We start from the raw sequence: 22,284 nt of genomic DNA, 5'->3' as shown, positions 1-22,284 counted from the left end.
ATGCCTGTAATCCCAGCACTTTGGGAGGCCGAGGCGGGTGGATCACGAGGTCAGGAGATCGAGACCATCCTGGCTAACACGGTGAAAACCCGTCTCTACTAAAAATACAAAAAAATTAGCTGGGCATGGTGGCAGTTGCCTGTAGTCCCAGCTCCTCGGGAGGCTGAGGCAGGAGAATCTCTTGAACCCTGGAGGTAGAGGTTGCAGTGACCCAAGATCACGCCACTGCACTGCAGCGCAGCCTAGTAACAGAGTGAGACTGTCTCAAAAAAAAAAAAAAAAAAAAAAAAAAAAGGGCTGGGTGCGGTGGTTCACGCCTGTAATCCCAGCACTTTGGGAGGCTGAGGTGGGTAGATCACGAGGTCAGGAGATTGAGACCATCCTGGCTAACACAGTGAATCCCATCTCTACTAAAAATACAAAAAATTAGCTGGGTGTGGTGGCGGGCGCCTGTAGTCCCAGCTACTCGGGAGCCTGAGGCAGGAGAATGATGTGAACCTGGGAGGTGGAGCTTGCAGTGAGCCGAGATCACGCCACTGCACTCCAGCCTGGGCGACAGAGCGAGACTCTGTCTCAAAAAAAAAAAAAAAAAAAAAAAAAAAGAAAGAAATGCAGTGATTTTTTTTTTTTTATGACTGTGGATCTAGCAACATGGTAGGTTAATTTTAACATTTGAATAGTTTTTATAGATGTTGGTTTTTAAATTGTATTTTGTTCCTCTCAAAGCGAATGTAGAAGTTACTTATAGTTTTTTTTTTGTAATGAATCATTTGCAGAGGTAGCATTCAAGCCGAAGTAATTATTAGCATTAGTCAGTTTCCTTGTGCTTATGTATTTGGTGACTAAATATACATAATGACTCTATTTTTTTGTTCTTTGAATACAGCAACTCCAGGTGGTTCCGCTATTTGGGGACATGCAAATAGAACTGGCAAGATATATCAAGACCAGCGCCCACTACGAGGAAAATAAATCTCGGTAGGAGGAGAGGAAAGCTGCCTGGTTTGAGCTTTCGGCAGTGTCCTCATTGTGCGGTTTTCAAACATCCTGCTTATTTGTCTAGAGATAACACTGTTAACATTCTCAGCCTGGAATTAAATGTCCAGTATTGCAGCCTTTGCCACATGCGGCTATTTACATTTAAGTTTATTGAAAAATACAATTGAGGCCGGGCGCGGTGGCTCACGCCTGTAATCCCAGCACTTTGGGAGGCCGAGGCGGGCGGATCACGAGGTCAGGAGATCGAGACCATCCTAGCTAACACGGTGAAACCCCGTCTCTACTAAAAATAGAAAAAATTAGCCGGGCGTGGTGGTGGGCGCCTGTAGTCCCAGCTACTTGGGAGGCTGAGGTAGGAGAATGGCATGAACCTGGGAGGCGGAGCTTGCAGTGAGCAGAGATCGCGCCACTGCACTCCAACCTGGGCGACAGAGCAAGACTCCGTCTCAAAAAAAAAAAAAGAAAGAAAAATACAATTGAAATTTTAATTTCCTTACGACAGCCACGTTTGAAATGTTCAATAGTTAGTGGCTACTGTGTTGGACAGCACAGATACAGAACACTTTCATCATCCTAGGGATTCCTATTGGACAGTGCTGGGTGATAGTCTTTATGTTTAAAAAGGTTGTCTTAAAAAAAAAGAAGAGGGTGGGGCGCGGTGGCTCATGCCTGTAATCCCAGCACTTTGGGAGGCCGAGGTGGATGGATCTCTTGAACTCAGGAGTTTGAGACCAGCCTGGGCAACACAGTGAGACCTTGACTGTATGAAAAAATACAAAAATTAGCCGGGCATGGTGGCACACGCCTGTAGTCCCAGCTACTCAGGAGGCTGAGGTGGGAGGATCACTTGAGTAGTCTAGGAGGTGGAGGTTGCAGTGAACCAAGATTGCACCACTGCAGTCCAGCCTGGGCAAGAGAGCAAGACCCTACCTCAAAGAAAAAAAGAAGAGACTGACAGTGTGTCAGATGTGACATCTGCAGACAATGTGGCCCTAAATCCTAAACTGTGTACCATCTTACTCTGTGAAGAACTATAAAGATCCTCAGCACAGTTCCAGATGCTGGCAGGCACTCCTCCCCACTGCAGACTCTACAGAGCCATCTGAGCCTCAGGGGAGGCTTTCATTGACTTTTGCCAAGCACTGTGCCCGTAGCCAACCTGCAGTCACCATTCAGCCATGATTTTGACAAACGAAGTTGCATCTCAGTCTCAGGGGTCAAGAAACCTTTTCAGTAAAGGACACATAACAAGTATTTTAGGCTTTACAGGCCACAGGTGGTCTCCTTCGGATATGCTTCTGTGTTGTTTTTTTAAACAACCCTTTAAAAACATAAAAGCCATTTGTGTGGCTCTGGTGCCAAACAGGCGTCCTGAGCTGCCCCAGTGCTGTGGCCTGCCGGCGCCTCCGCAGGTAACGCGGGTGCTTTCTCTCTGCACAGATGGACGTGCACATCCTCCGGCAGCAGCCCTCAGTACAACATCTGCGAGCAGATGATCCAGATCCGCGAGGACCACATGCGCTTCATTTCGGAGCTGGCGCGCTACAGCAACAGCGAGGTGCGCCCCGCGACCTGGAGCTGCACAGGCACCCGAGGGTCGCCTGTGTGTGTTTGCACCCAAATCTTAGGTTTAATTGCTTTGAAAAACAGTTTACTACCAGATACGATCATATGTCACATAATGACAGGGACAGGTTCTGACAAATGTGTCATTAGGCAGTTTCATCATTGTGGGAACGTCATCGTGTCCTCATGCTAGCCTGGATGGTACAGCCTGTGGCACAGCTAGGCTGCAGGGTACAGCGGATGGCTCCTAGGCCACACACCTATGGAGCACGTTGCTGTGCTGAAGACTCTGGATAGTTGTAACACAATGGTATGTATTTGTGTATCTAAACATATCTAAACATAGAAAAGGTACAGTGAAAAGATGGTATTATAATCTTATGGGACCACCGTTGTATATGCTGTCATTGACCAAATGTGGTGCATGACTGTACTTCAAAAGCACCCATTATAATTGACAAGGCAGTGAAACTAGTGTTCTCTCTGTTCAGCTGTACAAAAAGCTTTTTTTTTTTTTTTTTTTTTTTTCAGAAAAACATTATAGGGATCCCAAGAGAAAGGACAGAGATGAGATAATTAATTGATTAAGTGGCATTTCCTAGTCTAGTACTGTGATTCCAAGCAACTCGAAAGATGGTTGGAGAGAAGGGAGGACACTGGGAAAGGAAAGGGTGATTCTGACCTGGGGCCCCTGTAAGCCTAGAAGGGAAGAAGTCCTGAGGCCAGAGGTGAGCAGGAGCCTCTGGGTGGCTGTCAGAAGACGTCCCAGGGGCATTGGGTCCATGTGTCCAGGAGGTGGGCCTGGAGTTGGGTGCAGAGAACAGGTGCTTTCTCTTTAGTTCCTTCCAGCTTTGCAGCTGGGTTTGCCATGTTGTCATTTTGGCCACTCCCATTCTCCTCACTCACCCAGGTTGACTCCGAGCCAGCACTGCTGGCATGTCTGTGCTGCAAATTGCTGGCAGGGACTGCGGGTTTTAGGGCATATACGCAGGCTGCTTTGCTGAACTGGTTAGTCCCTCAAGGGTCTCAGGAGGACCATTAACCTTAGCGGGGACAACTCTGTGGATGTTGGCCCCACCCACTGCAGGACGATGAGCACCCTGTCCCCCACCCCCCATGGTTACCAGTCATCATCATGTAACCAAACTGACTGACAACCCAGTAGTCCAGGTATGTTGGGGCACCTGCTGCTTCTAACACAGACCCCTGGCAAGCGTTTGGGCATGTCAGACAAGGAGGCTGTCCTGGGTGAGTCAGTGAGTGAGTGGCGAGCGAGTGGGAGGCCTAGGACAGTACTGTGCACTGCTGTGGCCTTTATGAACACTGTGTGCTTAGGCTGTGCTAAATTTTTTAAAAGGCTTTTTCTTTCTTTAATAACGAATTAGCCTTAGCTTACTGTAACTTTTTTACTTTATAAACTTTTTACTTTTAAAAAGAGCTTTTTGGCTTTTGTAACAACACTTTGCTTAAAACACAAACACACTCTATACCTGTGCAAAAATATTTTTTCTTTATCTCCTTATTCTGTAAATTATTTTTCTACCAAAAAGTTTTTGTTTTTTTCCTTTTGAGCTTTTTCGTTAAAAATGAAGACCCAAACACACACATTAGCCTAGGCCTACACGGGGTCAGGATCATCAGGACATCACTAGGCAGTAGGAATTTTTCCACTACGTTAAGATTTTATGGGAGCACCATCATGTGTGTGGTCTTGTTGACTGGAGCATCCTTAGGTGGCATCTGACTGTAATTGTTTCTCTGGCATTGTCTAAGGTAACAAATCAGTTTTTTTCGGAGTACAGTTTTTTTTTTTTTTTTTTTTTTTGGGTGAGACGGAGTCTTGCTGTGTCGCCCAGGCTGGAGTGCAGTGGTGCAATCTCGGCTCACTGCAAGCCAAGGTTCACACCATTCTCCTTCCTCAGCCTCCCGAGTAGCTGGGACTACAGGCACCCACCACTACGCCCGGCTAATTTTTGTGTGTGTGTTTTTTTGTGTTTTTTTTTGTGTGTGTTTTTTGTGTGTTTTTTTAGTAGAGACACTGTTCTAGCCAGGATGGTCTCAATCTCCTGACCTGGTGATCCACCCGTCTCGGCCTCCCAAAGTGCTGGGATTACAGGCATGAGCCACCGCACCCGGCCTCTGAGTACAATTTTAAAGTGATTCGACTTTAGGTTTGTTGATTTTCTTTTTTCTGAAAGCTGAACATCCTGGTGAATGACGCCAGCATAATTTGATTTATGTCATTATGTCATAATCTAGTCTTTTTTTTGTTTGTTTTTGAGGTGGAGTCTTGCTCTGTTGCCCAGGCTGGAGTGCAGTGGCGCGATCTCGGCTCACTGCAAGCTCCGCCTCCCAGGTTCACGCCATTCTCCTGCCTCAGCCTTCTGAGTAGCTGGGACTACAGGCGCCCGCCACCACGCCCGGCTAATTTTTTTGTATTTTTAGTAGAGATGGGGTTTCACTGTGTTAGCCAGGATGGTCTTGATCTCCTGACCTCGTGATCCGCCCGTCTCGGCCTCCCAAAGTGCTGGGATTACAGGCGTGAGCCACCGTGCCTGGCCTTTTTTTTTTTTTTTTTTTTTTGAGACAGAGTCTCTCTCTGTTGCCCAGGCTGGAGTGCAATGGTGTGATCTTGGCTCATTGCAACTTCCACCTCCCGGATTCAAGCAATTCTCCTGCCTCAGCCTCCCAAGTAGCTGGGACTACAGGCGCACGCCACCATGCTTAGCTAATTTTTGTATTTTTAGTAGAGACGGGGTTTCACCATGTTGGCCAGGATGATCTCCATCTCTTGACCTTGTGATTCGCCCACCTCAGCCTCCCAGAGTTTTGGGATTACAGGCATGAGCCATTGCACCCGGTCATAATCTAGTCTTAAAAGAGCAATGCCAGCACTACTAATTACAGTGACTAGAAATTGTTTTATGATTTGTTTTGCAGGTGATTTTGCCCTTGAGCTTCTTACTCAGGGTACTTTTTTTTTTTTTTTTGAGATGGAGTTTCGCTCTTGTTGCCCAGGCTGGATGGCGTGTGATGGCGGGATCTTGGCTCACTGCAATCTTCGCCTCCTGGGTTCTAGCAATTCTCCTGCCTCAGCTTCCCGAGTAGCTGAGATTACAGGCATGCAGCACCACGCCCAGCTACTTTTTTATATTTTTGGTAGAGATGGGGTTTCACTATGTTGGCCAGGCTGATCTCGAACTCCTGACCTCAGGCAATCCACCTGCCCCGGCCTCCCAAAGTGCTGGGATTACAGCATGAGCCATCGCACCGGGCCCCTCACTCAGAGGATTTTAAGTCACACCGTGGTGTTTAGAGCTGCTCAGGGTCCTCTCAGTGGTCATGCTGTGAGCTCCATGCAGGTTCCCGCCATTGTTTCATTTTGCTTTTGACTTCTAGGCATTGCATTTCCGATCTCATTTAATTCTGTGTCCTAAATATATAAAATATTTGTGTGGTTCTAATATCACATCTATAAAAAGGTATATTCAAAGAAGCCTGCCTTCTCCACGGTGCCCCTTCCTCCCCATAGGTCACATGTTTAAATTTAGGGGGTGGTTATTTGATAGAAGCAAACCCACGTGACTTGTGTGTTGCCCTTCCCCGGCCTAGTGGAAGTGCGCCAAGCCCACGCGTGTAACAGCCCCGCGCCCAGCCCGCGGTCCCCCAGGCGGTGGCTGTGGCAGCGGCCTGTCCCTTGCTCTGTGCTCTGCAGCACGCCCTTGGCCGCCATTTTCCCGGGAGGAGGGTCCAGCACCCACAGCATTTCTTATTTTCTTTTTATTTATTTATTTATTTATTTATTTATTTATTTATTTATTTATTATTTTTTGAGACGGAGTCTCGCTCTGTCGCCCAGGCTGGAGTGCAGTGGCGCAGTGTCGGCTCACTGCAAGCTCCGCCTCCCGGGCTCACGCCATTCTCCTGCCTCAGCCTCTGAAGTAGCTGGGACTACAGGTGCCCGCCACCATGCCCAGCTAATTTTTTTGTATTTTTCAGTAGAGACGGGGTTTCACCGTTTTAGGATGGTCTGGATCTCCCGACCTTGTGATCCGCCCGCCTTGGCCTCCTGCATTTCTTATTTTCACACGTGTGACTTTGGGGTGGATTCTCATGGTGGATCCCGGGATGGGGGGAGCTGGGTGGGGGCGCTGGTTTCTCACGGGGCCGTGCCCGCCTTGTGCAGGTGGTCACGGGCTCGGGCCGCCAGGAGGCCCAGAAGACGGACGCGGAGTACCGCAAGCTCTTCGACCTGGCGCTGCAGGGCCTGCAGCTGTTGTCGCAGTGGAGCGCGCACGTGATGGAAGTGGTAGGCCCCGTCCCCGACCCCAGCCCCGCTCCAAAGCTGCCTCGGGCACTTTATTCACATTAACTTTTGGTCTTTGGGCTTTTTATCTTTGGCCCTAGAAAGACGAGAATATCTATCAGTAGATATGTTTCCAAGGTGATTTTAAGTACATCTCATTTATGTGTGTAATAAATGAAGGGCCTCCTTTTTAAAAAAAATCTTGATAGAATTAAATTTGTACCATTGTGATTTTCTTTAAGTCGTTCTTTTTTTGAGATAGTCTCACCCTGTCGCTTAGGCTGGAGTGCGGTGGTGCAAACATAAGTCCCTACAGCCTTGACTCCCCACCCCAAGCGATCCTTCTGCCTCAGCCTCCCAAGTTGCTGGGACCACAGGTGTGCACCACGGCTCCCGGCTAATTTTTTTTTTTTTTTTTTTTTTTTGAGACGGAGTTTCGCTCTTGTTGCCCAGGCTGGAGTGCAATGGCGTGATCTCGGCTCACTGCAACCTCTGCCTCCTGGGTTCAAGCGATTCTCCTGCCTCAGCCTCCTGAGTTAGCTGGGATTACAGGCGCCCACCACCACTTCTGGCTAATTTTTTTGTGTTTTTAGTAGAGATGGTATTTCACCATGTTGGCCACACTGGTCTTGAACTCCTGACCTCAGGTGAACTACCCGCCTCAGTCTCCCAAAGTGCTAGGATTACAGGCTTGAGCCACCGCACCTGGCCTAGTTTTTTGTTTTTTGGTTTTTTTTGTACAGACAGTCTCGCCGTGTGGGCCAGGCTGGTCTCAAACTCCTGGCCTCAAGCCATCTGCCTGCCTGGGCCTTCCAAAGTGCTGGGATTACAGGCGTGAGCCACTGTACCTGGCCAAGTCTCATTTTTTCATTTAAATTTTATTTTGCTTTAAATATTTACTTGTATTGATGCATAATAGGGGTACATAGTTTCAGGATACATGTGATAATTTAATACAGTCATACAGTTTGCAAAGATCTAATTGGTGTGCTTGGGATGTCCATCGCCATAAATATTTGTCCTTATGCCAGAAAAATTCGAGTTCTTCCCTATCTATTCTGAAATGTACCATAAATTATTTTAATTAATAGTCACCCTAACTGATCTATCTAACACTGTCTTATTTCTAATATCAGACTGTACATTTGTACCCATTAATGTCGCTTCACGCCCTGCATTTTTAAGATAACATTTTCTCTTTGGAGCTCCAGCCATCAATGTCTTTTGTTGAACATTAGTAAATTATTTCTGGTGCCATATAAAGATTTGGATACCTGTAAGCAATGAAAGATTTTCCCTTTTGTGATTTATTTTGATCACATAAAAATTATCAAATTGGAAGAGTACATGGTCATTTGAAAGGCAAAATCTTTATTTACTTACTTATTATTTTATTTTTTGTAGAGATGAGGCCTCACTATATTGCTCAGGCTGATCTTGAACTCTTGGGCTCAAGTGATCCTCCTGCCTCAACCTCCCAAGTGCTGGGGTCATAGGCATGAGCCACTGTGCCTGGCCCAGAATCCTTTTTAAAATGATGATGAAATGCCAGAGTCTTAGATACTCAGCACTCACTATCCAGGCCATTTTGCCGGGTAGATTTTTTAAACGAGAGGTTACAGGGCCAGGGTCTTTTGCCCATCTGTGGAGATGGACGGTGTGTGCGCCCTCATGTGTGACTTTCAGAATGCAGCAAAGGTTTGAAGGCTGGCCTGGCTTTGGCCACCATCGTGTGAGTCAGACCAGAAGCCAGGCGTTTTGCATGCAATATGGAACACCTCTGCTCTTTCGGCCACCACAGTATTCCTGGAAGCTTGTGCACCCCACCGACAAGTACTCCAACAAGGACTGCCCCGACAGCGCTGAAGAGTACGAGCGTGCCACGCGCTACAACTACACCAGCGAGGAGAAGTTTGCCCTAGTGGAGGTGAGGATGCTCGGCCGCTCGCTCTTCCTCATGTCGCTCTAGCTTCACACCATCTTCTCTGTCAAAAGCAAAAACATGAACAAAACTGCCTGTTTACTCATTGCTTCTGTGTGGGCACCCCTTTCCATCTGGCAGAGTAGTCAGAGTAGAACGCATTAGAGAAACAGTGGTTGTCGGTCCTGGGTCTGCACTGAAGCTCCCTGGGTGCGAATCTGGACTCCTGGACCTGCGTCTGGATGGAGAGCAGTGTCGGGTGCGGGGAAGGGAGGTGAAAGAGATGTGGCCCCTGCTGAGAGAGAAGAGCTGTCTTGCTCTCCTGTGAGGCAGGCGCTGCACTCCCCTCGTGAGCCTTTCCATGGGCAGCTCTTCATTCCAGCATCAACTGGTATCTTTTCTTTCATAGCTGTGCTTTTCCTGTGCTGTTTGAGAAATCTTTGCATACTCTCAGGTCGTGAAGGTATTCTGCATTGCTTTCTGGATACTTCACTCTGCTTTCACACTGAGATGCGAAATTCACCTGAAATTCATTTTTGAAACAATTCCGTCCAACCCTCACGCTGCCACCTTTGTAGCTGGTCACGTGACAATGCATGTGTGGCTGTGTTTCTGCTCTGCTCTAACCCAGTGTCAGTTGCTGTCGGTATCCCAGCACCACTCTGTAGCTTTGTAGTCATCTACCGTGTATGAGAAAGCACGTCTTTCTGTCTCCTAGACTTCCTTGGCTATTCTTCCCCACTGTAGTTTCATATTCATTTTAGAATCAGCTTTTCCCATCCCACAGTGAGGATTTTAATCAGGATATGAACAATCCTATGGATCATGACAGGAGAATTGACAGAAGTCTCATACAGTTGGCCCTCAGTGTTCTTGGGTTCCACCTCCATGAACCAACCTTGGGTCAAAAATGTTCAGAAAGAAAAAATAACACTACAACAGTGAAAAGTAATAAAAATGTTAAAAACCACTGTTTTGGCCTCAGCCTCCTGGACTCAAGCAATCCTCCCACCTCAGCCTCCCCATTAGCTGAAACTATAGGTGCATGCCACCACACCTGGCTAATTTTTATATTTTTGGTAGAGATGGGGTGTCACCAAGTTGCCCGGGTTCGTCTCAAACTCCTGAGCTCAAGCAATCCACCCGCCTCAGCCTCCGAAAGTGCTGGGATTGCAGGTGTGAGCCACTGCGCCCAGCCAAAATTTTCTGATTTTTTGACATAAGGTTTTTCATAGTAAATTCTCATCTTATTTTGGTAGAAGCTTTTTTTTCACATAACCATACAGTTCACCCATTTGAAGTGTAAAAGTCAATGCTTTCAGCACATTCACAGAGTTGTACAGTCACAATCAAATTTAGAACAAATATAAATGCCAGCCCATTATCAGCCACCCTTCATTCTTCCCTCCCTCAACCGTATGCAGCCACCACTCTGCTTTCTGACCCTGTAGATTTGCCTGCTCTGGGCATTTCATATGAGTAGATCATACCATATGTGGCCCTTTGTGACTGGCTTTCACAAAGCATAATTTTCACTTAGCATAATTTTCCTTTTATTTTTCTTAAGATGGAGCCTTGCTCTGTCACCCAGGCTAGAGGGCAGTGGCGTGATCTCAGCTTACTGCAACTTCTCCCTCCCGGGTTCAAGCAATTCTTGTGCCTCAGTCTCCAGAGTAGCTGGGATTACAGGCACCCACCACCACGCCCGGCTAATTTTTGTATTTATAGTAGAGACAAGGTTTCACCATGTTGGCCGGGCTGGTCTCAAACTCCTGACCTCAGGTAATCCGCCTGCCTTGGGCTTCCAAAGTGCCAGGATTACAGGCGTGAGCTACCGTGCCAGGCCACTTAGCATAATTTTCAAGATTCACACAGGTATCACTGTTTTGTTCTGTTTATTGCTGAATAATATTGCATTACATGGATATGTTACATTGTATTTATCCATCCATCAGATGATAGACATTTGGGTTATTTCTACCTTTTCACTACTATGAAGTTGCTGAGAACTTCTTTTTCTTGTTTTTTTTTTTTTTTTTTTTTTTGGAGACAAGGTCTCACTCTGTCACCCAACTGGAGTGCAGTGGCAGGATTATGGCTTATTGCAGCCTCAATCTTCTGGGCTCAGACAATCCTCCCTCCCCAGCCTCCCAAGTAGCTAGGACCACAGGCACAAACCACCATGCCTGACTAATTTTTAAATTTTTTGTAGAGATGGGGTCTCACTGTGTTGCCTAGTCTGGTCTTGAACTCCTGAGCTCAAGTGATCCTCCTGCTTTGACTTCCCAAAGCACTGGGATTAGAGGTGAGCCACCATGCCCAGCCTCTATGAGCTTTCATGTGCGGGTTTTTGTGTAGATGCTGGTTTTCATTTCTTTTGATTGTATAGCTAGAAATGCAATTACTGGATCATAACAGCACATTTAGCTTTTGAGGAACTACCAGATAGTGGCAGCACCATTTCTCCTTCTTACCAGCAGTAAGTGAGGGCTCCAGTTTCCCCACATCCACACCAAACTTGTTATTGTATGTCTTTTTGATTCTAGCTATCCTAGTGGGTGTGAGGTGGTATCTCATTTCATTGCGCTTTTGATTTGCGGTTTTCTAACAACTAAGGATGTTAAACGTCTTCTTATGTGCTTGTTGGCCATTTGTGTGCATTATTTGGAGAAATGTCTCTTCAGATCCTTTGCCCATTTTTAATTAGGTTATCTTTTTTATTATTGAGTTGTAACAGTTCCTTATACATTCTAAATATCAGTTCCTTACAGCCATAGGATTTTCAGTATCTTCTCCCATTCTATGATTGTCCTTTTAGTTTCTTAATGGAGTCTTTTGAGACACAAAGTGTTTGAATTTTGATTATGTTTGATTTATCTGTTTTTCTTTCGTTGCTTATGCTTTTGGTGTCATATATAAGAAATCATTGTGTAACCCAGGTCATGATGATTTACTCCTGTGTTTCCTTCTAAAAGTCTTTTTTTTTTTTCTTTTTTGAGACAGAGTCTTGCTCTGTCACCCAGGCTGGAGTGCAGTGGCATGATCTCAGCTCACTGCAACTTCTGCCTCCCAGGTTCAAGCAATTCTCCTGCTTCAGCCTCCCAAGTAGCTGGGATTACAGGTGTGCGCCACCACACCCAGCTAATTTTTGCATTTTTAGTAGAGACAGGGTTTCACCATGTTGGCCAGGCTGGTCCTGAACCCCTCACCTCAGGTGATCTACCCGCCTTTGCCTCCCAAAGTGGTAGGATTACAGGCATGAGCCGCCACGCCCAGCCTCTTCTAAAAGTTTTATAGTTTTAGCTCCTAACTTAAACCTAATTTAAATATATGATCCATTTTGAGTGGATTTTTATACAGCGTTTGACAAGGTTGTGTGAGGGGCCCTCCAGACCACCCTCCATCCCCCTGACTGGCTGGGAGGACTCACAGGGCTTGGTAGTTGTTGCACTGAAGGTTATGACTCCTTGCAGCCAAAAGACAGAGTCAGATCAGCAAAGGGAAAAGGCACAGGAGTGGAGTCCAGAGAAGACAGGTGTAAACTTCCAGCTGTGCCTGCTAGTGGAATTGCACGGGACGTGCTTATTTCTCCCAGCGATGATGTGTGACAGCACACACAAATTGTGGCTCACCAGGGCAGCTCCCCAGAGCCTTGGGGTCCTGGGTTTTTACTGGGGGCCAGTCACGTGGCTGACCTTGGCTACTCAGACTCTAGGTCCTCAAAACACACACAGGAGGTCACTATTAGTCACCTTGTTAGCAGAGACTGATCAGACTGGTACAGCAGTAGGCCCGGGGCCCCAGGCACACAAAAACATAATCTCTAGGCAGGACACTCCCAAGGTTCAGAGCTGGTTCCTGGGATGACTTCAGCCAGTCCTGAAGATGGGCCTTTCTTGGGGATGTGCGGAGTTTCATTCTCCCCAGCCTGCTGAGTTAACCCTTTCCTGCACAAGGGTCCACCTTGATTCTCTCGCATGTGCAGATACAGTTGTCAGTACTATTTGTTGAAAAGATGATCTTTCCCCATCAAATTGTTTTGGTACCCTGTTGAAAATCAATTGTAAGTTAACTTCTGGACTCTTAATCCTATCCCATTGACCTCTGTCTATCCTATGACAGTATTTTTTCATAATCTCTTAATCTGTCTATAAACTGCTAATGTCCCCTTTTTCATTCTTAATGCTGGTAACTCGTGCTTCTTTTTTTTTTTTTTTTTTTTTGAGACAGAGTCTCGCGTGTTGCCCAGGCTAGAGTGCAGTGGCACAATCTCAGCTTACTGCAACCTTCACCTCCCGGGTTCAAGCTACTTCTGGCCAATTTTTGTATTTTTAGTAGATACAGGGTTTCACCAATGTTGGCCTGGCTGGTCTTGAACTCCTGACCTCAAGTGATCCACCCTCCTTGACCTCCCAAAGTGCTGGGATTACAGGCGTGAGCTACTGTGCCTGGCCTGCTTCTCTGTCTTTTTTTTCTTTGTTATTCTTGCTAAGCATTTGTCAGTTTTACTGTTTATTTACTGAACAGCTTTGTCTTTGTTGATCACCCTTGATTATACACTTGTTTTCTGTTTCATTGTTACATTTATTTATTTATTTATTTATTTATTTATTTATTTTTGAGACAGAGTCTCGCTGTGTCACCTAGGCTGGAGTGTAGTGACGCCATCTCAGCTCACTGCAACCTCCACCTCCCAGTTTCAAGCAGTTCTCCTGCCTTAGCCTCCCAAGTAGCTGGGACTACAGGTGTGCACCACCACACCAGGCTAATTTTTGTATTTTTAGTAGAGACGGGGTTTCACCATATTGGCCAGGCTGGTCTCGAACTCCTGACCTTGTGATCCGCCTGCCTCGGCCTCCCAAAATACTGGGATTACAGGCATGAGCCACTGCGCCCGGGTGCTTTTAGTTATTTTTCTTCGATTTTGGGGGGGTTTATTTTGCTGTTTTCTATAAATTAGTGATGAATGTTTGATAAGTATTATGATTTTTATCCTTTTTAGTTTTCTAATGCGTGCATCTAAAGCTCTCAGTTTGCTGTTAACTTGCCTTTTCCTTCTTCCTGTAAGTGTGAATATGTAGGATTGTTATGTTCACTTAAATGGGTTTTTCCTCGTTTGGTTTTTTAAATAGAACTTTTCTTTTTTGTTGATTGGAAAAACAATATAAAATCATCAGTTTTCCAAAGTAAGCATGCTGAAAACACAAGCATGGCATTAGGAAGGCACAGTGCCTGCGGCGCCATCACAGAGATGGCGCTGAGCAGCTGGGTGCGTTTTCTTCCAGACTTTTTCCTTTCTAAAATTTTCATTATTTTAATTGCATATAGACCATGAGTCTTACATGAAAGCAGTCTATTTGGAAATTCTTTACGTTATAGAAGGATGAATTAAAAGCAGACTGTCAACTTTTCCACCTGAAAATTTCATGAAAAAGAAAAGCACCAAAATCATATAAGCCATGTTTCAAGTACTTGTCAGACACGTCTTCATTTACCCATGAATCAGGCTGTTTATAAAGCCATAATGAGGAACTCAAAAGGTGTGAATAAAACCAGAAAGTGATAGAGGGAGACTGTGTGAAGCCTTGGGGAAACACATTTGTGTTCTTGCTAAGTGAACTTCAAACCAACAGATTTAATAAAAGTAGGAAGATGCCTAGCCAAGCATGGTAGTGCATGCTTATAGAACTAGTTACCCAGGAGGCTGAGGCAGGAGGATCGATTGACCCTGGGAGTTCAAGGCTGCAGTGAGCTATGATCATGCCACTGCACTCCAGTCTGGGCAACAGAGTGAGACCCTGTCTCAAAAAAAAAAAAAAAAAAAAAAAGCTGCCTTAATTTTGAATCTGTCAAATACTTAATTTCAAAAGGTTTTTTTTGTTTGTTTGTTTTTTGTTTTTTTTTATTACTGTGGACTGAAGACCATTTTCAGATGTTGAAGTAGGGTTTTTGTTTTGTTTTGTTTTGAGACAGGGTCTCGCTCTGTCACCCAGGCTGGAGAGCAGTGGCATAGTCATGGCTCACTGCAGCCTCGAACTCCTAGGCTCAAGTGATCCTCCTGGCTTAGCCTCCCGAGTAGCTGGGACTATAGGCTCATGCCACCACACCTGGCTAATTTTTAAATTTTTTGTAGAGATGGGGTCTGGCCATTTTGTTCGGGCTGATCTTGAACTCTGGTCTCAAGTGATTCTCCCGCCTCAGCCTCCCAAAGTGCCAGGATTATGGGTGTGAGCCACTGTGCCTGGCCAAAGAAGGGTTGTTAAGATTTTCCCAAATGTATTAGTCTTAGGTACAGCGTTCTAGTTAAAAGATAAAAAGAAGTGAATTATGTTTCACTGGTGCTATTAAATGTTCCACTTTGGTGTCTTATATGTCAGACATCCACACGGCAGGGTGGACTTGGGGTAAGTGTGTCTTGCTCTGCCTCACTTGCTGCTTTCAGAGAGATTTCTAGGCCTCACATAGCTATCATGAAGTTGGCTGTAGAAATATTTATAAACGGCAAAAGCCGTAAGAAAGCTCATGCAATTGTAAAGGTCATACTTGGTTTGTGACCTTCAATTGTTTATTCAGAAAGTAATAAAGCACACTGTCATGACAAAATTACTGTCTGGAAACAGGGAAATAATGAGCCCTGGCACCATTTTTCTGTCCCAGGAATTCCTTTGGAAGCTCTTTGTCATGTAATTATGTTCCATCAGAGTCTTCCAGGCTTTTTCTGTGAATGGTAGTTCACTGCGCCTTTGTTGTGAACAATATGGGATTTGGACTACAACCTCTTGTAACTTCTTTTTCTAGTAATATCATGCCTGCTTTCCTGAGTCTTTTTCTTCTTTCCTATTTGAATTCCATCACAGGAGGGTGTGCTGGGGTGGATGCATGTGTGTTTCGAGTCAGATGCATCCCTGTCCTCCAGGTGCTCATGGTCTGATGGGGAGTCAGATGCGGGCACAGTTCCATTGACTATGGCTTTGGAGAAGACGTTTTGGGGCAGGGCAGCTGCAGGGCACGAACGCGGGAGGGCGTAAGGTGCTGTGGGCGAGGAGGAGCAGCCCCCGGCATGTGCCAGGCAGAGGAGGCTTGGTGCCATCCCTAAGAAGGGCCGTCCCTGTTGCTGTGTCCCCCGCAGGTGATCGCCATGATCAAAGGCCTGCAGGTGCTGATGGGCAGGATGGAGAGCGTGTTCAACCACGCCATCCGGCACACCGTCTATGCCGCACTGCAGGACTTCTCCCAGGTGACCCTTAGGGAGCCGCTGCGGCAGGCCATCAAGAAGAAGAAGAACGTCATCCAGAGGTCAGCCTTCCCCACGCCCTGTGCCCGCTGTGCCCACACGTCCTCGGATGAACTTGGATTCAAACAACAGGAGCGTTAAATTCTCAAAAATGATTTCAATATATTTATCTTCAACCTTCAGATGCCCTCTTGGTGAATTACCTCTAAAAGTAATGCATGGGTCCAATTATTAACCCAAACAATGGACAGTAAGTCAGCTGCCGAGTGTCTAGGGAGTCTGAGGACCCCGGGACAAGGTGCATTTATCCCAGGCTCGCGGTGCCTGTGGTTCATGCATGGTGCCTTATGGGGGTCTCTGCACGGTGGAGCCCTGTTGGTGATGAGGCTGTGTTCCAAACCAGTCGAGAGACATGGCCAGGCTCTGGTCATGTGGGTGACTTCACATTCCTGTTGGTTACTGGGGACAGCCAGCTGCGGGCAGGCGGGGCCCAGCTCTGCTCCGTGCGGAGGCTGTGTTCTGCCCTCTCCCTGCCCACAGCATGACTCAGAGCCACCTCACTGCTGCCCTGGGCTAACAGATGCGAACTGGAGCTCAGGGCAGTCTTCTGGGGGTAGTAATACTCTCCAGAAGGCAGACTCCTTTTTAACTTTCCTGTTGAGCTGGTCCATTACCACATCCCTCCATGGCCCCCAGAGTAATTTGTATTTTCATGGGGGCTGTTCTGAGAGCCTTGTAGTTGGGTGAGGAGATGGTGTGATTGTGAGGCTGGAGGTCTCGGCCTCTGGGCCTTGCTGATCACTTGGTGGGGTGTTCAGTGTCCTGCAGGCCATCAGGAAGACCGTGTGTGACTGGGAGACGGGGCATGAGCCCTTCAATGACCCAGCCTTGCGGGGCGAGAAGGACCCCAAGAGCGGCTTCGACATAAAAGTACCACGCCGCGCCGTGGGACCCTCCAGCACTCAGGTTCTCGTCCCTTGAGCCCCGCCTGCACCCTCTCCCTGGGGGGACCCACCCTGAGCTGTGAGCGGGTGGGGCTGGTGAGGCCCGGGTTAAATGAGGTCCTCGCTGCCTGCTCAGGCAGAGAAAGTGGCGCCTGTGGTTTCTGCTGCTCCTCTGTTTCCCACCCAAGTGAGTTGGGAGCGTGAGGAGACGTGCCTTGATTGTCAGATGTGTCATGTGCACTAAAAAGGAGTCTGACTCCATTTCAACTCCCATCCCAAAAATGTGGGCACAAGTCCACGTGTCTGTATTCATTCTGTGTTTCTTGATGGGTGTTTGAATGTCTGTATAATTTTTACGTTGGGTCTGCAAATGACTGTAGATGGGGCGTGGGAAACTGTGAGGTGCTGCTTGCGTGTGTCATGGTCCTAAGCTGCCCACTGTCCTCTCTCCTGGTGTGTTCAGGCCTCCCCGAGGTGCTTCTCACGACTTTCACACCCGGTTTAATCCACACCGCTGCGTCTGTCCTCCGTCCTGGGGCTGGTCTTCTCCCTCATCTCTGCCGGAGGCTTTTAATCTCTTCTGCCACTCTTCTGGAAAGTCACCAGCAATGCACGCTGCTGGCTCTGCAGGAGGGTCAGGGGGACGGCCCTCGGCCTGTGCGTGGTGCCAGCCACCCTCCCTGCCTCCCTCTGCGTGCGTCCCGTGTCCCTGCCTGGGGTGTGTGTGTCGAGTGACTAACGTCTCTCTCCTGCCTCTCCCTCCTGTCTGTCCGTGTCTAGCTCTACCTGGTGCGCACCATGGCCGAGTCCTTGGGCTCTGCCGAGCTGCTCAGGCAGCTCAAGTCTCTGGGCATGGAGAGGCTCTTGCATGCGGTTAACACGTTTCTGAGGCAGTCGTGCACCTACCTACCCCTTTTAACCTTTGGTGGTAAGACATCATTTGTTTCTCTTGACGTTTATGGCACGGAGGCGAACTGCTCCGCTACAAGTTGTTCTTTCCCCAAAGCAGCAGCAACGTGGCCGCGTAGACAGGCACCCGGACCCCTCGGGGAGCTGGTGCGGGGCCCTCCCGACCAGGGCGTAGCGGAGCAGTCCTTCTCTCATGGGCTTTTTGAGTTTGGCATAACTAATGTACCATGTATATTTTCTCCCCCACAAATGTTTCCTTGGATAATCCAGCTTTACATGGTGAGAACCATGCTAGAGTCCCTCATTGCAGACAAAAGTGGTTCCAAGAAAACCTTGAGAAGTAGCCTTGAGGGGCCCACCATATTGGACATAGAAAAATTTCATCGAGAGTCATTCTTCTACACTCACTTGATAAATTTCAGTGGTAAGAGATACTGCTGAGCAGCATCCGGCCTGGCATGTCCTAACACCACTAACACCGTCTAGAATGCTTCCGCCCGCCTGACCACCCCCTACCCCGTCCCTTGGTGCACCCAGACGGTGACTCGTCCTGCCCTCTGTGGCGGTGGCTGTACGTCCCTGGCCTGAGCTCGCTCCACAGGGCGTGGTCCCTACAAGGGTATAAACTGAGGAGCCCGGGCTGGCCCTGAGACATGAACAGAAAATCTTTTCAACCCATGCGGGGTTGGAAACAGGCGAATGTAATCTGGTGCCTGAGTTGAGACACAGGCATTGATAAATACTAGAAATGGCCCTTGCAGACCATGACGTGGGGGGAAGGTGGCGGGTGCCCTGTGCCAGGCAAGCCCATCCTGGGTGACACCCGGCCACCTTGACCGGCCACCGGTGGGTGCGCTCTCTGCCCTCCGTGTGTCTGTCCCGTGTTCTCATCAAGTCCTCCGTTGTCCACCTCTTGCTCAGAACAGGATCCCTGCTGTCTTGGCTGGGGTGCTGCGAGGTATTGGAGGAAATAGTACCACTTTTGCTGTTAACTCCATGAAAGGATGGAGTTCGAGTGTGGGCTCTTTTAATCTGTCTCATTTTTGCGTTAGACAGACCTCCCTGAGTGTGCCTCTAATGCTGCAGCCTGGACATTGGTTTTTATCCTAAGTGAAAGTGAAGAAGTCCTGTTTTTTTGTTTTGTTTTTTGTTGAGACGAAGTCTTGCTCTGTCACCCAGGCTAGAGTACAGTGGGGCGATCTCAGCTCACTGCAAGCTCCGCCTCCCAGGTTCAAGAGATTCTCCTCCCTCAGCCTCCCAAGTAGCTGGGATTATAGGTGCTCACCACTGCGCCTGGCTAATTTTTGTATTTTTAGTAGAGATGGGGTTTTACCATGTTGGCCAGGCTGGTCTCAAACTCCTGACCTTGTGATCCACCCGCCTCGGCCTCCCAAAGTGCTAGGATTACAGGCGTGAGCCACTGTGCCCAGCCAGAAGTCCTGTTTTTATGTCTCCTTTTGAGAAGAACATTTTTAGGTAAGACACAGTGGCTCATACCTGTTAATCCTAACACTTTGGGAAGCCAAGGCAGGAGAATCACTTGAATTCGGGAGTTTGAGACCAGCCTGGGCAACATGGCGAGACCCCCATCTCTATAAAAAATACAAAATCAGTTGGTGGCACGTGCCTGTGTTCTCAGCTACTTGGGAGGCTGAGGCAGGAGGATCGCTTGAGCCCAGGAGTTGAAGGCTGCAGTAAGCTATGATCGCGCCACTCACCTCCAGCCTGGGTGACAGAGTGAGATAGACTCTGTCTCAAAAAAAAAAAAAAGACACTTTCCCCCTGGATCCCACTGAAGGGCTCACAGGGTTGATGAGGTGGCTTTACCTGCAGCTATGCCCAGCTGGTCCTGTCCCTAGTGCAAGGCCCCGGTGACCCCTCCCCACTCATGTCCATGCTGCATGGCTTGGGGCTGAGCGAGGAGGAGCAGGCACCCAGCACACAGCCCTTGTGTCATCTCTGCTAAAGGTTTTTTTTTGCTTGCGGGAGATAACATGGAGTTGTTTGAACCCTCCCAGAAACGCTGCAGCAGTGCTGTGACCTTTCGCAGCTGTGGTTCCGAGAGTTCTTCCTGGAGCTGACCATGGGCAGGAGGATCCAGTTCCCCATTGAGATGTCGATGCCCTGGATCCTGACGGACCACATCCTGGAGACCAAGGAGGCATCGATGATGGAGTGCGTGTCCTGCGGGCCTGTCTCCAGCCTTTGTGTGTGGTGACCGGGGGTCCTCAGAGGAGGTGGCGGAGAGGCCGGGACTGTTTTTAGTATTGTATTTGAAATCAAGTTTCTGGGCCTGGGCAAAATAGCAAGACCCCAGTCTCTACAAAAATGAGAAAACTTAGCCTGGTGTGGTGGCTGATGCGGGAGGATTGCTTTACCACAGAAATTTGTGGCTGCATTGAGCTATGGATTGCACCACTGCATTCCAGCCTGGCCACGTAGCAAGACCCTGTCTCCAAATAAAAAAAAAAAAAAGAGAAATCATGTTTCCTGGGGTAAAGCTTTAGAGATTAATACAAGTAACTAACCAGTTTCTTGGTGTCAGACTGGAATTGAGAGCTCAGGCACTAGAACCAGTCACGTTCCTACTTTGCATGGGTGCTGGCTGGGACCCGGGGACTCAGCCTGGACCAGGGAGATGGATGAACCTGGACCTTCCCCAGGCCTTCGTAGTGCAGGCCCTGTGAGGTGGCCATGCCCGTGAGCTGCCTTGCGGGAGCCCTGTGGCCTGGCCTTTTGTGTGACACAGCCTCTGACCCAGATGAAGTGGGGAAAGGAAGTATTGATTGAACAGCTTTGTTCTGGGGATCAGGACTGTGGACCTAGATGGAAGGGCAGTCTTTCAAAATATAAAGTTCATGGAAGGGAAAGTGTTTGGAAAAGGGTGTGTCTCATGGTGAGCGACTGGGGAGCCGCCCAGCCGGTCTGTCTTCTGAGCACCGTGAGTGGGAAGCCCCTGAGTTCCTTGTGCGTCAGTCCTCACACATCCCTTGTGGTGCCCAGGAGATGGTAAGGGCAGTCACCTTCCACTCTCTGTGGCTGTGGCATGGCCATGCCATTTGTGTGGGCAGAGCCTCTGATGGCTCGTTGCACAGCATTGGGGTGGCGTGAGGAGCTGGAACCAGCTTGGAGGCCTCCTTCAGGCATGGGCCTCCTTGCCCCTGGCCATGGCCTTTGTCCAGATATGAGGTAGTGGGAGACGGGCCTTCAACCATGGGCCATGCTGGACATGCTCCTGGTGAGCTGTGGGATCCAGGACCTTCACCTTTGTTCTTTTTTTTTTTTTTTTTTTTTTAATGCTGTCTATGTACTTCCGTTGGTGTAATTTTTTCTTTTTTTTCTTTCTTTCTTTTTTTTTTTTTTTTTTTTTTTTGAGACAGAGCCTTGCTCTGTTACCCAGGCTGGAGTGCAGTGGCACAATCTCAGCTCATTGCAACCTATGCCTCCCGGGTTCAAGCAATTCTCCGGCCTCAGCATCCCAAGTAGCTGGGACTACAGGCACCCACCACCACGCCCGGCTAATTTTTGTATTTTTAGTAGAGATGAGTTTCATCATGTTAGCCAGGCTGGTCTCGAACTCCTGACCTCAAGTGATCCGCCCACCTCGGCCTCCCAAAGTGCTGGGATTACAGGCATGAGTCACCGCGCCCAGTCCACCTTTGTTCTTTTCCAGTCAGTTCATTCTTTTTTTTTTTCCCCCCAACAGAGACAAGGTCTTGCTCTATTGCCCAGGCTGGAGTGCAGTGGTGCAAAGACAGCTCACTGCAGCTTCAACCTCCCAGGCTCAGGTGATCCTCCTGCCTCAGCCTCCTGAGTAGCTGGGACTACAGGCATGCGCCACCACACCTGGCTAATTGTTTTGTGTTTCATGGAGACGGGGTCTTGCTATGTTGTCCAACCTGGTCTCAAACTCCTGGCCTCATGTTATCTTCCTGCCTCATCCACCTAAAGTGCTGGAGTTCATTCTCTATCATTTTTTTTGGACAGGGTCTCACTCTGTCACACAGGCTAGAGTGTAGTGGCACGATCTCAGCTCACTGCAGCCTCAACCTCTCAGGCTCAAGTGATCCTTCTACCTCAGCCTCCCAAGTAGCTGGGACTCAGGCGTGCGCCACCACGCCCAGATAGTTTTTTGTAGTTTTGTTAGAGACAGTATTGCCGTATTGCCCAGGCTGGTCTTGAACTCCTCACCTCAATCAAGTGATCTGCCCACCTCAGCCCCACAAAGTGCTGGGATTACAGGCATGAACCACCAAGCCTGGTCCTTGGAGTTCATTCTGGAAATAAGAAAATAATTTTCTTTTGTTAAAAATCCTATGTACTTGTAGTGAAATATTTTAAAGTCTGCTAAGTGAGAAGATGCAGGCAGGTGGAGGCCCTTGTCCGTGTGTGGCCTTCAGTGAGC

The 22,284-nt window shown here is 48.1% G+C and overlaps 1 protein-coding gene across 10 annotated transcripts in view; it reads left to right on the top strand.

The window, feature by feature from the left end:
• CYFIP1 (cytoplasmic FMR1 interacting protein 1) overlaps window positions 1-22,284 on the top strand; it is a 113,847-nt gene that overhangs the window by 46,119 nt on the left and 45,444 nt on the right. For 8 of the 10 annotated variants that reach the window (NM_001324119.2, NM_001324120.2, NM_001324125.3 and 5 more), the window contains 8 exons: window positions 887-978; window positions 2,440-2,557; window positions 6,752-6,874; window positions 8,673-8,798; window positions 15,922-16,088; window positions 16,845-16,992; window positions 18,150-18,303; window positions 19,898-20,054. In NM_001324119.2, coding sequence (NP_001311048.1) covers window positions 887-978; window positions 2,440-2,557; window positions 6,752-6,874; window positions 8,673-8,798; window positions 15,922-16,088; window positions 16,845-16,992; window positions 18,150-18,303; window positions 19,898-20,054 — 1,085 coding nt within the window. Of the gene's footprint in view, window positions 1-886; window positions 979-2,439; window positions 2,558-6,751; window positions 6,875-8,672; window positions 8,799-15,921; window positions 16,089-16,844; window positions 16,993-17,466; window positions 18,304-19,897; window positions 20,055-22,284 lie in introns of those variants that run through there. The other 2 variants (NM_001324122.3, NM_001033028.3) reach the window with 2 other exon arrangements.

The sequence above is a fragment of the Homo sapiens genome, chromosome 15 (genome assembly GCF_000001405.40).
Source record: "Homo sapiens chromosome 15, GRCh38.p14 Primary Assembly".
NCBI classification, from domain to species: Eukaryota; Metazoa; Chordata; class Mammalia; order Primates; family Hominidae; genus Homo; species Homo sapiens.
Note: the sequence above shows the minus strand (reverse complement) of the source record. Positions and strands in the feature narration are given on the sequence as shown.